The sequence below is a fragment of the Homo sapiens genome, chromosome 2, assembly GCF_000001405.40.
Source record: "Homo sapiens chromosome 2, GRCh38.p14 Primary Assembly".
Classification (NCBI taxonomy): domain Eukaryota; kingdom Metazoa; phylum Chordata; class Mammalia; order Primates; family Hominidae; genus Homo; species Homo sapiens.
Genome location: NC_000002.12, coordinates 125,765,035 through 125,778,701, shown reverse-complemented (window position 1 = coordinate 125,778,701; position 13,667 = coordinate 125,765,035). Strand labels below are relative to the sequence as shown.

The following is a 13,667-nucleotide window of genomic DNA, read 5'->3' as shown; positions in this document are numbered from 1 at the left end:
TGCTTAACACCTTGATTTGTGGTTTCTGCTTGGTCCAGTCAAAGGCAGGCGTGGTTTCCTACATTCCTTCTCTCTCAGCTTTGGCTCTAAGTGTGAAGAAAGGCATGGGGCTAGAGAGCGCATGGCTGCTAAATGAACTACTGAAATGTATTTAACTCTTCCCCTATAGTTGGATATTCAGCTATTCCTACATGTTTACATTACAAACAATGCAGTGGTTACCGTATTTATGCCTAAATCCTTATCAACATGTCTTGTTATGTCCTATAATAAATATTTTAAAATATACTTTTTCATGTAATATATACTAAATATATTTATACCCAAATCATTTTTGGGTATAATTTTAGAAAATATATTTTAGAAATATATTTTAATTTATTCTAGAAAATATATTTTAATTTATACCATCACCACTGGTTTATTAATGCGTGTACTTCCCCACATTTTAGGGGAACTCTTTAGGGTACTTTTTGAATTAAAATGACTTAAAGACCCAAAAAGGAGACAAGACTTAATGATGGCCTTTCAAGTACATTGTAATTTGTAGAAGAGACAAATTACCTCATACAAAGAACACCCCTGGGATCAGCCTTCTAATGAAATCCAACTCACCTTTTTTGACACCTACTATACTGTCATAGGTATCTTGGACTCATTATTTTATGTAATCCTGACAACAACTCCAGGAGGCTATTGCTTTATTTTTATTGTTGAATCTTTGGAAACTGTTTCAGAGAGGTTAATTAACTTGCCATTGATAAAACAGCTTCAGCGATATTGAGCTTCACACTGACACAGGCCAAACAGCAAAATGAAAGTAAGCAGACCACACTGCTTCTCAAATCCCACCATATAAAGGGCTGATAATTCACATAAATCATACCCCTACTGAATATTTCCTTCTCTGTGGTCTTTCATCTTACGTTTAATTAAAATGTGGGTAACAAATCCCATTTCACCATATTCATTATTCATGCAAACTCACGAGTCACATACAAGTGACAGTACAATATTGAGAATTTCTATAAAACCATTTATCACCATCACTTCTTTGCATTTACTGTTGCTTAATAAACAGTAGATACCATCTCTTGGCACAATGAGGCAGGCACACACACAAAAAGAAAAGAATTCTGCAACATTTAATTAATGCAATACCTAACAATTATTTATGTGAGCTCATTACAATCTGCTGTTTGTTACAATCCATCCATAATTTTGAAATAATGGTAAATGATATTATTGTAACCAAACAATAAATTTGGTTAAAAGAGAACACTCACATATGGAAGTAGATGGAACTATCTGCCCTTAAAAATGTGTAACTATATATCAGCTGTTGAAACAACCACTTATGTTAAATGCGATCACTTCTTCCCTCCGGTTTCAAATCTGGGGTGACTTGGAGAAGAGGGAAATTTGTATTGTATGTATTTACTTCACATAGAAAAGGCACAATGGCTAAATGAAGTCAGTTACAACTTGGAGGCAGCTTCGTAGATGAAAAATGGTATATAACAATAGTTACTGAAAATTACGATGTTATAAAACACTGCTGGAGTTTATCAGAAACATGAATAGTGCTTGTCTCAACCTAGTGCTGTTGGTCTCTATGCATGTGAATTTCAAAGATACCTCCTTTAAAAAAAAAAGCTTTATTGTGATGTAATTTATATGCCATACAGCTCAACAATATACAATGTAGAATTTAACAGTTTTTAATATGTTCTCATAGTTGTGCAAACATCACTACAATATAACTTTAGAATTTTCATCACTCCAAAAGGAATCCCTATACCCATTACAGTCATTCCCCATTTCTCTCTGCCTCCACAACCCCCAGGCTTAGATGGACCCATCTTGTGTTTTGGTGTAGACCTGGGGCTTTATGACATTCAACATTTCGTGTGAAAAATAAAGAATCAAGCCTGGGCAATGTAGTGAGACCTCATCTCTACTAACGTTAAAAAAAAAAGTAGCTGGGTATGGTGTCGTGCGCCTGTCATTCCAGCTATTCAGGAGGCCGAGGTAAGAGAATCACTTGAGCCCAGGAGATTGAGCCTGCAGTGAGCTGTGATTGTGCCACTGAACTACAGCCTGGGTGACAGAGCAAGACCCTGTCTCTAAAATAAATAAATAAATAAATAAATTAGTTAAATAGAAAGGATCAGAGCTCCGATTGGAGTAGACAGTTTGACAACCTGTGTCCCACCTTAAAATATAGAATTTCTGTTTCCTTTTAAATTTATATGTACTTTCCTAGCTGAATACTTTGCTTTCTTTTCCAGAAGATTGAAAAGAATAAAGCTACCTTTACTAAACAATAGTAGTCTAGCTCATTTAGCCAGTAAGAAAAGTATTTTTTTAAAAATGGAGTTTCTCTGAGTATTTAGATAAAATATTTCAGAATATGCAGAAGGAATGGGAACCAGTTTGTTTTTATAAAAAGTAACCACATGGCCGGGCACAGTGGCTCACATCTGTAATCCCAGCATTTTGGGAGGCCAAGGCGGGCGGATCACGAGGTCAGGAGATCGAGACCATCCTGGCTAACACGGTGAAACCCCGTCTCTACTAAAAAATACAAAAAAATAGTCGGGCATGGTGGCGGGCGCCTGTAGTCCCAGCTACTCGGGAGGCTGAGGCAGGAGAATAACGTGAACCCGGGAGGTGGAGCTTGCAGTGAGCGGAGATCGATCGCGCCACTGCATTCCAGCCTGGGCAACAGAGCGAGACTCTGTCTCAAAACAAAACAAAACAAAACAAAAAACAAAGGGACCACATGAACTCAACAGTGTAAGAATAACAGGGAAACATGCAGAGGAACTCTGGCTACTACAGTAGAAAACAATCTGAACAAGTCAAAATCCACCTTTCCCGGTGGCCCAGCCTCCCTTGACCTGAGAGCCCTAGGATCTTTGAACTTAGTAACTGTTGCGTGTATTCCAATATTATTAGCTCATGATCCAATGCAACATTTTCATCTCCTTTCCTCAATAAGGACCTCTTTTGGGACAAAGCTTGCCTGTTATCTGGACACAAGTGCAGCAGGCAGGGGGGCAACATGACTTAGTCCCATGATACCATTAGCATGGTGGACCTGGTTCTCTATTTGTAGAAGGAGGTTAATTGGATGAACCTAAATATTGCTTTCAATTTGATGTCTGTAATTGTCCGAGACTACATTACTTGCGTTGCTCCATGTTCATCCTAGGATCCACCTGAAAAGAGCAGCATTCACAACCCATGACCACTGTGCCCTAGCCATCCACTCCCATCACAGATTTAGGAGAAGGAGTGGACATATTCCCTGCAAAACAAAGGCAACACCAGGCCAGTGAGAAGCCGCATTACCCGGGGCCTCAGGCAGCATCAGACGTGGAAAAGAGCAATTGTCAGAGTAAAGTATTTGCTTATCCAGTGGAATTTGTGATTACTGTTAAGTGGATTCATGGAGATCAATCTTCTCCAAAGACAGGCTTTCCATTTTCATCAATCAGTGCTCCTCACTGGCATCAGCACACATGAGCATGTGCATACATACATATATACACACAAGTGTATACATAACACGGCACATGAAGCTCCACCTCTGGGCTTTTGTTTGGGACCTGCTCTCCGCTCATACCTAGCAGGCCACTGTTTTCGGGGATCCAGACACTGGGCAGAATGGATGGAAAGCATGGCTGTGAGAGGAGGTTGAATATTGACAAGGGAGCTGAGGCCACAGGGAAAGTAGGGGATGCTGTGAGAAATAATTTAAAGCATAGAGAGAGCAGGTGGTATGATGGAAGGCCTCAGTATGTACATGTGTTTCTGCAAACAGTTTCGAATTTGTTTATGTGCCTATGCCTGTTTGTGTGTGCTCTGTGATGGGGAAGAATGCTGCTGGGTGAAGCTAGAGAGGTGGGCTGGCCTCTGGCTTCTAGACACTCACAGATGCTCTCTCTGAAGTCTCATAACCATAGTCTCTGAGGACAGGACAGAGTGATCCACTTCATGGTGATGGGTAGCCCCTGAGAGGGAAGAGCAAGGCAATCTTTCCTCAGACTTAGTTTTAGAAAGATCACACCGGCATAAAACACACACTAGTGGTGTTTTTTTAAAAAAGGAGTGGGAGGGAATGTCCCTCAAAGTTAATATATATAGCAGTCACCTGGAATGCGTGTCTAAAATGAAGATTTCTTTCTGTCTTCCAGAGACTATGGTTGAGATTAAACAAAATTATCTCTAAGTAAAGCATGAAAGTGCCTGGAATATAAAAGGCAAAGTAGAATAAAAAGTAGCTGCTCTCCTGCTGATGGTGATTTCTATGGCGATGGTGACAAGGACGTTGACTCTCTACTTGGGATTCAAGAAGCCTGGTCACATCTGGAAAGGTAGGTCCTGTCCAGGTAAGCCATCTGCCAGAGGGTCTTTTTTTCTTTGTCTTCTTTTCAATGTTATATTTGGCATTCAAAAATATGGGATCTCAAGTCAGTGACTTAGAAAAATTGACTGAATAAAATGTTTCCATGAACAATATAAAAAGATTAGCAATATTTGCAAATACATCAATTTGACTTTGTTTAATAGTTTTGCTTATATTTTCAGCAGATATCCATTATGCTATAATAATATGTATTATAAGATAAATCCCCTTGTTATTTTTCTTTTCACATCGAATTTTTATTCCACTCTTTCTATGTTTTTAATTGATATGTAGTAATTGTACATATTTTGTGATATAGCATGATGTTCCAATGCATGGATACACAGTGTAATGATCAAATCAGGGTAATTAGCATGACTGCCACCTCAAATATTTAAAATTTCTTTGTAGTAAGAATATTCCAAATCTTCTCTTCTAGATGTTTTGAAATATTTAATACATTATCATTAACTATAGTCACCCTACTGTGAAATAGGACACCAGAACTTATTCTTCCTATATCATTGTAATGTAGTACCCATTGACCAAACTATTTCCATTTCCCCCTCCTCCTTACCCGACCCAGTCTCTGGTAAACACTATCCTATTCTCTAAGTTTGTGAGATCAGCTTTATAGACTCTAACATGTAAGTGAGATCGTGCAGTATTAGTTTTTCTGTGTCTGGCTCATTTCACTTAGCATGATGCTCTCCAGGTTGATCTACATTATTGCAAATTGCAGGATTTGATTCTATTTTATGGCTGAATAGTATTTCATTGCATAAATTTATCAATTTCTTTATCCATTCATTCACTGATCGATACTTAGGTTGATTCCATATGTTGTCTGTTGTGAATAATGCTGAAATAAACATGAAGGTGCGGATAACTCTTTGACATGTTGATTTAATTCTTTTGGATACATACCCAGTAGTAGAATTGATGGATTATATGGTAGTTCTAGTTTTAATTTTTTGAGGAGACACCATACTGTTTTCTATAATGGCTGTACTAATTGACATTCCCACCAACAGTGTATAAGGGATTCCTTTTTCTCCGTATCTTCTCCAACAATTGTTATATTTTTTTACTTTTGATAACAGCCATTCTAACTGGAGTAAGTCGATACCTCACTGTTGTTTTGATTTGCCAGAATTTCTTAATCTCAATCCTCTGGTTCTCTAAGGCAGTGCTTCTGGGCCCTGACTGCACTTTGAAATAATCTGAGTATCTTTCAAAAATATTACATCAGAAGCAATTCTTTATGATCTTTGGGTGTTAGGATCAAGCACTGAAATTTTAATGAAGTTCTCCAGAGAATTTTAATTGCACATAGATTTGGAAACTGCTGGCCAAGTTACAAAACTCTGGTTTCACCTTCACCTAAGGCTTCAACTAAAAATGCAGACTTCTGGGCCTAACCCCAGATGTAGTGAAATGGATTACCTGGAACCAGTGGTGGAGGTGGATGACTTTCATGTTTCCTAGCACCCTGGTTGGATTTCTATGCATATTAAGGCATAAATCACTGCCTTAGAGGGATGGACTGCATATAAGTCATACCTTATCTCATCTCATCCTATCTCCAGGGAAGGGTTGCTGTCTTACTCAATCTTCAAAGAATAATCAACAGCTTTTTTCAGAATGCTTGACATATAGGGCCACCAAATATTTTCACATTGCTCAACTATATTGCAATGCATTTCATGATTCTAAAATTTAGTAGAATGGAATATATTTGCCTATATAAATATATACATACATATATAAATGTAAATAGGTTCTAAAACCAATAATGGGTCTCTTATCTAAAAGCAACATATGTACAGTTCATTCTGGTGGATGCATTTTTATTTTACTTTTTCTTCCATTAATAGAAGGAGAGAAGAGAAGGGCATTCAACAGATATGTGTTGAGCCCTCACTATCTCCTAGGTGCTGAAGCCCTGCCTTCCACTGAGGCACATGTCCCCTGAAGAGCCATCAGGGTATAACAAATCTGAAATGTAGAGTTTTGTATGGGTTAGATTTTTATTTACATTTTACAAACTACATCTGTTTAATTTATCCTCCCCAGCTTGAAGTGGAAACTCCCAGCAGCTAAAAAAGCAGTAACCCAATACCTGAATCAAGATGAATACATTTGCAATCATTTATACTTTCATCTCTTTTTCATGCTGGAGACCTTGTGTGGGTCTTGTCTTGTCATTGCATTAGCATTTGGACAAATGATAAGCCACTCCCTACCCTTCAACTGTGAGCCAAGGCAAACAGATTTATTAATGTCTATACCTTTTAATTTTTTCTTTTTTTTCTTTTTATTATACTTCAAGTTTTAGGGTACATGTGCACAACATGCAGGTTTGTTACATGTATATATACATGTGCCATGTTGGTGTGCTGCACCCATTAACTTGTCATTTAACATTAGGTATATCTCCTAATTTTTTCTTTTTTGATGAATCATTGAAAAAATATGGTGGGTTCTTCAGTCAAATTTAAGGATCCTCAATAGTCTTGTTAGTGATATCAAAGTAAATAAGTGATTTACCCAGTGAGATGAAAGGCCCATCATAGAATGTGAAATGAAAACCCTGATATACTCAAGACAGATTGTTTTGGAATAGTGAATATATATTTATATCAATATATATTGTTCAGTACTAAGTCTGATAAACCTTGTCTTTTACATTTTACTTAATGATGCTTTTGAGAGCTTGATGATCCATTCTGCCATATTTTGCACAAAAATCATGGTAGCAAAATTGAAAGAAAAGGTGGGGACATAAAACAAATGTTTAAAATAGCTTGATATATAACTCTTGTTGAAACTTAACCACTTTAGAAAGCACTGAGTTTATGATCTGGTTTTTTGAACGCTTCTGCTCATTTTTGTGCCAGCATGTTTAATGCCTGTGAAGGACAAATCTTTTTTAAAATTTGATCATAGCATTTATGAGTTCATATTATAAAGCCCTATTCATACCTACAATGGACAGAAACCAGAGCAAAGACTCAAATATCCTGTCTCTTTGCAACGATTGCTACCATTAAAAGCCTAGGGCACAGAGACCTTCACTCAGTACTCTCCAGGCAGGACAGAGAAGTTGAGGGCAGTGGCTCCAGGTAGCAAAATCTGCAAAGAGTCGTGCAGGAAGCATTATCGTTTTATTTCTGAGGCTTTCTCATCTCCTGCCAGAGGTTGATCACAGAGCTCCAGATTATTCGAACACCAGGGAAGTGTGGGTAGAAGGTTACACAGAACCTGCTGTTGGAAACTTGGGTGGGAAGTTGGGGGTCTGGACTCCCCTGGTGTATTTCCAGAGGTGCGTCTGGATGCTTCTTTCCCTCCACCCCTGCAGGAACCTGAGCTGCCTCTCTTAATCTCTCTTTACTCTCTAACATATTCCCCTCATTCTATTTCCCATTGAAGTATTTCCTTCATCCTTGTTTTTCACATTTATTATTCCAGATGCCAAATGATCACCTGCCTCTTTCCAGAGTCTAAGATTCAGCTTGCTGCTTCTGCTCATTGGACCTAATTTGTGTCTTTTGGCTCATGCTGCCTTCTTGCCCATTTCCAATGGGTCTGTTTTTTTGTGGTCAAAATACGCTGTGTGTAAAATTGTTTTCTCAATTAGCTTCTGAATCCCTGATGTCCTTTCAATTCCTTGGAGGACTTTCTGAACTTCTGAGCCAGGCTTATGGTTGTGATTTCAAGATGAATGGAGAGGCCCGACTTCAAAGAACTCAAAATGGAGCAGAGGAGAGTGGGTCTAGGAACAGGGCCAGCATGGTGGGTTCACAGAAGGTCAGAAGACTGAGGAAGACCAGGGCACCAGAGAAAATCACTCTGAAACATTGCTCATAATGCCATAGCATCCCCTATCAGGTTTCTCTTCCACGGTACCATTAGAAGTAAAAATGTGTTCAATATAGACCTCACATAAGCCTCTGTGTTCAAATGAAAAGATTTTCTTTCCTACTCCAACAGTCTGCTTCTGATGTCTCTGCTTCCCAGAGTCCAGCTTTCTTTCCTCTCTCTTTGACTTTACTGCCTTTCACCCCTTCTTTCTCATCACTACCTCTTTTGCACTGGAATATTCTGTCAGTCTCAGAGGCTGCCCACAAAGAGCGATGTCATGGGTTTGCCTAAAAAGAGTGGCCACTTGCCCTGAAAACAGAAAATGTAAAGGTCACCTGCTTTGACTTGTATTGTCCCTGAGCCCCCAAGGCTTTGTCCTGCCTCTTGCTTGTGTAAGGTGCACCACTACAAGGTTGTAAACCAAATATACAACTCTAAGGCCCCCCAGACATCTGAATGGACTTCCTTCTCAGCCAGGACACTATTAAAATTTAACCTGAGAGACTGGTTAAGGCCATGACCGGAAGTAGGGGTCAGACATGCTTCATTATACCTCTCTGGCACTAAGATCAACACAGACCTTAAGTCTGATAAGAAGCATTTATGATCTATTCTCTCTGAAGCCTGTTACCTGAAGGCTTCCTCTGCACAATAAGAATTTGGTCTCCACAGTCCTTTATCTTAACTCAGATATTCCTTTCTAGTGATTCCAGGTCTTTAGATAAACTCAACAAATTGTCAACCAGAAAAATTTGAAACCTACCTATGACCTGGAAGCTCCTCAGCTTCAAGTTGTCCCACTTTTCTGAACCAAAGCAATGTATTTCTTAATGTATTTGATTGAAGTTTCATGTCTCCCTGAAATGTATAAAACCAAGCCTCACACCGGCCACGTTGGGCACATGTTCTCAGGGTCTCCTGAGGGCTGCATCATGGGCCATGGTCACTCATATTTGGCTCAGAATCAATCTCTTCAAATGTTTTACAGAGTTTGACTCTTTTCTTTTTTTTTTTTGTTATACTTTAAATTTTAGGGTACATGTGCACAATGCGCAGGTTTGATACGTATGCAAGCATGTGCCATGTTGGTGTGCTGCACCCATTAGCTCGTCATTTACATTAGGTATATCTCCTAATGCTATCCCTCCCCTGTCCCCCCACCCCACAACAGGCCCCGGTGTGTGATGTTCCCCATCCTGTGTCCAAGTGTTCTCATTGTTCAATTCCCACCTATGAGTGAGAACATGCAGTGTTTGGTTTTTTGTCCTTGCGATAGTTTGCTGAGAATGATGGCTTCCAGCTTCATCCATGTCCCTACAAAGGACATGAACTCATCCTTTTTTATGGCTGCATAGTATTCCCTGGTGTATATGTGCCACATTTTCTTAATCCAGTCTATCATTGTTGGACATTTGGGTTGGTTCCAAGTCTTTGCTATTGTGAATAGTGCCGCAATAAACATATGTGTGCATGTGTCTTTATAGCAGCATGATTTATAATCCTTTGGGTATATACCCAGTAATTGGATGGCTGGGTCAAATGGTATTTCTAGTTCTAGACTCCTGAGGAATTGCCACACTGACTTCCACAATGGTTGAACTAGTTTACAGTCCCACCAACAGTGTAAATGGGTTCCTATTTCTCCACATCCTCTCCAGCACCTGTTGTTTCCTGACTTTTTAATGATCGCCATTCTATCTGGTGTGAGATGGTATCTCATTGTGGTTTTGATTTACATTTCTCTGATGGCCAGTGATGATGAGCATTTTTTTCAAGTGTCTGTTGGCTGCATAAATGTCTTCTCCTGAAAAGTGTCTGTTCATATCCTTTGCCCACTTGTTGATGGGGTTGTTTGTTTTTTTCTTGTAAATTTGTTTGAGTTCATTGTAGATTCTGGATATTAGCCCTTTGTCAGATGAGTAGATTGCAAAAATTTTCTCCAATTCTGTAGGTTGCCTGTTCACTCTGATGGTAGTTTCTTTTGCTGTGCAGGAGCTCTTTAGTTTAATTAGATCCCATTTGTCAATTTTGGCTTTTGTTGCCATTGCTTTTGGTGTTTTAGACATGAAGTCCTTGCCCATGCCTATGTCCTGAATGGCAATGCCTAGGTTTTCTTCTAGGGTTTTTATGGTTTTAGGACTAACATTTAAGTCTTTAATCCATCTTGAATTAATTTTTGTATAAGGTGTAAGGAAGAGATCCAGTTTCAGCTTTCTACATATGGCTAGCCAGTTTTCCCAGCACCATTTATTAAATAGGAAATCTTTTCCCCATTTCTTGTTTTTGTCAGGTTTGTCAAAAATCGGATAGTTGTAGATGTGCAGCATTATTTCTGAGGGCTCTGTTCTGTTCCATTGATCTATATCTCTGTTTTGGTACCAGTACTATGCTGTTTTGGTTACTGTAGCCTTGTAGTATAGTTTGAATTCAGGTAGTGTGATGCCTCCAGCTTTGTTCTTTTGGCTTAGGATTGACTTGGCAATGTGGGCTCTTTTTTGGTTCCATATGAACTTTACAGTTGTTTTTTCCAATTCTGTGAAGAAAGTCATTGGTAGCTTGATGGGGATGGCATTGAATCTATAAATTACCTTGGGCAGTATGGCCATTGTCATGATGTTGATTCTTCCTATCCATGAGCATGGAATGTTCTTCCATTTGTTTTATCCTCTTTTATTTCATTGAGCAGTGGTTTGTAGTTCTCCTTGAAGAGGTGCTTCAAATCCCTTGTAAGTTGGATTCTTAGGTGTCTTATTCTCTTTGAAGCAATTGTGAATGGGATTTCACTCATGATTTGGCTCTCTGTTTGTCTGTTATTGGTGTATAAGAATGCTTGTGATTTTTGCACATTGATTTTGTATCCTGAGACTTTGCTGAGGTTGCTTATCAGCTTAAGGAGATTTTGGGCTGAGATGATGGGGTTTTCTAGATATACAATCATGTCGTCTGCAAACAGGGATAGTTTGACTTCCTCTTTTCCTAATTAAATACCCTTTATTTCCTTCTCCTGACTCTCTTCTTTGACAAGGTGCTCACTTGTTTAGGGTGATCCAATCATTTCAAGCCAACAAGCTTCCCAAACAAGCGAATACCTTTTGAAACCTTTCCATATTCTACATTTTCTAGGTGGGCTGCCCTTTTCTCTTGTCTACTGAGCGAAGTCTTTCTGATTTGAGACTCAGTTCAGGTATTACATCTTTTTCTGAGGTTAGGCTTTGTCTATTCTTCCTCTTCTCCCAGCCCCATCACACCAGCCACCTCACCTCCACGGGAATGCCTCCTGTCTACACTTTGTGTTTCTGCTCTTCTCTGCCAGGCTCTGCACCCCTCTCCAGGGTGATTCCCACTCCTGGGTACTGTCTGCTTACCTGTGCCCTCTGGCCCCACAGTATGCTCCCTTCCTCCATGTCTATAGCTCCATTGCCCAGGGTAGTAACGAACACATGAGAGCAGAAGAGGGCAACCTACTGACTAAGAGCGTTTATGCACTGGAAGGAGTCACTGGATGAAATCATAAACAAATATCCCCGGGGATAGTGATGTTTCCAGTGAAGGAAAAACACAACAATGATAATGGTTACCAAGCTCTAAGAAAACAATGAATTTGAGAGGTAAACAGAAATAACAGCAGGCTTCTTGGTTTCCAGATATAATCCAGGACTCTAAGTGTAGGTAAAACAAAACAACAAAGCAAAAACAAAACAAGAAACATACTATCAAACTACAGTATTTTCTTAATGTTCAAATTCAAGAACCTAGTGTATAGCCCCTTGCCAACATTTATAAAGAGCAATGTTTTCTGAGAACTTTATAAAGGAAAGAATCAAAAATTTACTTCTTAAGAAGGATATTTCATATTTCTCCCCAAGACCCTTACATTGAATTGGTAAATTAATTAAAAGTACTAAGAAAACATGGTCCAACAATAAACTTCTCATAAGAAAATGGTAGATGTGTCAGTAACATTTAAAAGCGATATGCATAACCTCCTGCTTGACCTCAGTAATTCACAATTACTTATCCCTCAGTCAGTTTGCATCAAAATGAGTTAAAATAATGTCCAGGAGTAAATTTACTCACTGAGATATCAGCAAAAGGAAATAGAAATATCACAGGATAATTGAGAGAAAAGAAAGTGTGAAACTCTTTTATTTCTTTGATAAAACATACTGCTAATGAGCTTCTAAAACATGATTTGCCAAGAAATAATCAACGCAAAGGAGCACATTTTAGGTCTCATGTTCACTACTTGTTGGTTGATTTTTTTATTAAGGCTGAAAGAGGACAGGGCTAGAATGCCACCATGAGTAATTACAACTCTCAAGGACTCAGATGGCATATTTAGGAAGCGACATTTTGCCATGGAGTTTAGACACCCAATCACTTTTTCTCAGGCATCCTCAAGCCTCCCTGGGCACAAACCCCTACAGCATGAGCACTGGTCCCATGTCCTAGGACCACAAAAATACAAATGCATGCCTCTCTGTTTGTAGTCCCATGAGACATGCTTGCTGCTTTTAGAGTGACTGGCCACAAGTGTGCAAGATCCTATAGGCAGCAGCAAGGGAAATAAGAAAAAATAAAAAATAAAGTCTGAGTTTATGTATTTTTAAAAATGTAATAAATTCAGTGTAAAAGTTTTTCATGTGGAATTGGATTTTTTAAAAAATCTGTAAGAGTGCGTTATGTACAAATAACAGAATTTAAAAAGACATCGCTGAATCCTATTTCCCAAAGGTCACCGTCATCCTTCAATATTGATTGAATTCCAAATTGCACCTTATTCCACTTCTGTTGGCCTTTAGAATAAGGTCAGTATCCAGTAGCTGCTTGGTTTTCTGAAAAGAACCCTGAAATGACAGCCAGGAAAAGTCAGTTCTTGTTGCTGGATTTATGAGTCACATAATCCCGGAAGAAGTTCTGAGGCTCAGGTATGTGGACAGCAACACCTGCTCCACCTACCCCAGAACACTGGCATCTAGAACATCAACAAAAAAAGTCAGTATTTCTGGACTTTCTAGATAACTGCCAGAGGCTAATCATTTCCCATCCCCCTAACAGTGGGCTAGGTGCAGTCAGTTTCTGCAACTCCTATCAATGTTTCCTCTTTAGTCATGAATATTAGCATAGAAGTTTTGCAAGGCGTTTAGGGAGGATAAGAATATAAGGACATTACAGAGTTATCTGAAGAATGCAAAGGCATATCTGTTCAGAGACCTGGGACAAAAGCCAGGCTTCCTTCTGGGTTCTCCAAACCTCACACACCTTGACACGTTTCTGCTTCTTTGCTCATCTTCCTCATTCCCTCAAGAGACTACTGTTCTTTGAGATTATCTTTTTCTGTTCATCTCAGTTCCCCTATTCCTCCAGCCAGGAACTCTCTCCTGGAACC

The 13,667-nt window shown here is 39.1% G+C and overlaps 2 long non-coding RNA genes across 4 annotated transcripts in view; one reads left to right on the top strand and one right to left on the bottom strand.

Moving 5' to 3' along the window:
• Positions 1 to 13,667, bottom strand: part of LINC01889 (long intergenic non-protein coding RNA 1889) — an 82,638-nt gene that overhangs the window by 14,886 nt on the left and 54,085 nt on the right. The window lies entirely within an intron of this gene.
• LOC124900611 (uncharacterized) overlaps positions 1 to 13,667 on the top strand; it is an 85,494-nt gene that overhangs the window by 32,655 nt on the left and 39,172 nt on the right. The window contains exons 1-2 of one of the 2 annotated variants that reach the window (XR_923297.3): positions 3,327 to 3,403; positions 4,203 to 4,382. This is a non-coding gene — a long non-coding RNA (uncharacterized LOC124900611). Of the gene's footprint in view, positions 1 to 3,326; positions 3,404 to 4,202; positions 4,383 to 13,667 lie in introns of those variants that run through there. The other variant, XR_923296.2, reaches the window with a different exon arrangement.